This window comes from Homo sapiens, chromosome 2 (assembly GCF_000001405.40).
Source record: "Homo sapiens chromosome 2, GRCh38.p14 Primary Assembly".
NCBI classification, from domain to species: Eukaryota; Metazoa; Chordata; class Mammalia; order Primates; family Hominidae; genus Homo; species Homo sapiens.
In genome coordinates, this window is record NC_000002.12 from 116,279,081 (window position 1) to 116,280,880 (window position 1,800).

Consider the following 1,800-nt stretch of genomic DNA (forward strand, 5'->3'; position numbering starts at 1 on the left):
AATTAAAAGTGTTGGCACTCTAGATGAGAGGGAACCAGCACAAGAATTCTGGCACCATAAAAATTCTGAATGTAGTGACACCACCAAGGGATCACATGAGCTTTCCAGGAATAGTCCCTAACCAAAATGGAAAGGCAAAAATGACAGATAAACAATTCAAAGCATGAATTATAAGGAAAATTAATGAGCTTCAAGACATGTTTGAAAATCAAAACACAAAAAAACTTCTAAATGAATCCAGGAAATGAAGAAAGATATAGGCATCTTAAAAATAAATCAATCAGAGCTTCTGGAATTGAAAAACTCACATAAGGAATTTCAAAATGCAATTGAAAGCTTTATAAAGAGACTGGACCAAGCAAAGGAAAAAATTTCTGATCTTTAAGACCAGTTGTTCAAATTAACCTAGGCAGTCAAAACTAAAGAGAAAGGAATTTAAAAATGAAGATAATCTTTGGAAAAATATGGGATTATGTAAAGTGACTAAACCTATGATGCACTGGCATTCCTGAGAGAGAAGGAGAAAGAGTATACAACCTGGAAAACATATTTGAGGGAATAATTCAAGAAAATTTTTCTAGTCTTTCTAGAAAAATAGACATCCAGATACAATGAACCAGATAAAATAACACCTGTGCAATACTGCACAAAATGAATATCACCAAGCCTTTAGTCACCAGACTGTCTAAGGTCAATGAAGAAGAAAAAATCTTAAAGATAGCTAGAGAAAAAAGATTATGTACAAAGGGAACATGATCTGGCTAGCAGCAAACTTTTCAGTAGCAACCTTACAATGTAGGAGAGATTAGGGGCCTATTTTCAGCATTAATAAAGAAAAGAAATTCCAACCATGAATTTCATAGCATACCAAATTAGCTTCAGAAATGGAGAAACAAAGACTTTTCCAAAGAGAAAGCAGTAAGGTAAATTGTTACCACTAGACCAGCCTTACAAGAGATACTTGGGAGTTCTAAACATGGAAACAAAAGAAAGATACCTGCTACTACAGAAACAAACTTAAGTACATAGCCCACAGACGTTATGAAGGAACCAGACAATAGAAACTACAAAGCAAAGAGCTAATAGGTTTATTATACTATCAAAACCTCACATATAAACAAACTTTGACTGTAACTAGCTAAAGTGCCCCCCATTTAAAAGGCACAGTATTGCAAGTGGAATAAAAAAAAACTTAAAGACATGTCAATCTGTTGCCTTTGAGAGACCCATCTCCTATGTAATGACACACCCATAGGCTCCAAGTAAAGGGTTGGAAAAATATCACCACACAAATGGAAAATAAACAACAACAAAAAAGCAAAGTTCACTATTCTTATATCAGATAAAACAGACTTTAAACCAACAAGTGTAAAAATGAACAAAGGACATTACATAATGATAATGGGTTCAATTCAACAAAAGACTTAACTATTCTAAATGCATATGCAGCAACATTGGAGCACCCAGATTCACAAAATAACTACTTTTAAATGTACAAGAAAACAGCCAGAAAATAACAGTGGGGAGTTTAAAAAGAAAAAAAAAACACTGACAATGTTAGACAGATCTCAAGGTGGAAAACTAACAAGGAAATTCTGAATTTAAATTTGTCACTTGACTAATTGGACCTAATAGACATCTACAGAACACTCTGATCATCAATCACATAATATATATTCTTCTGAACATGGTACATACTTCAAGACTAATAACATGCTCAGCAATTAAACAAGTCTCAATAAATCTTTTTAAAAATATATAATAGCAACCATACTCTCAGACCACAGTGGCAGAAAAACA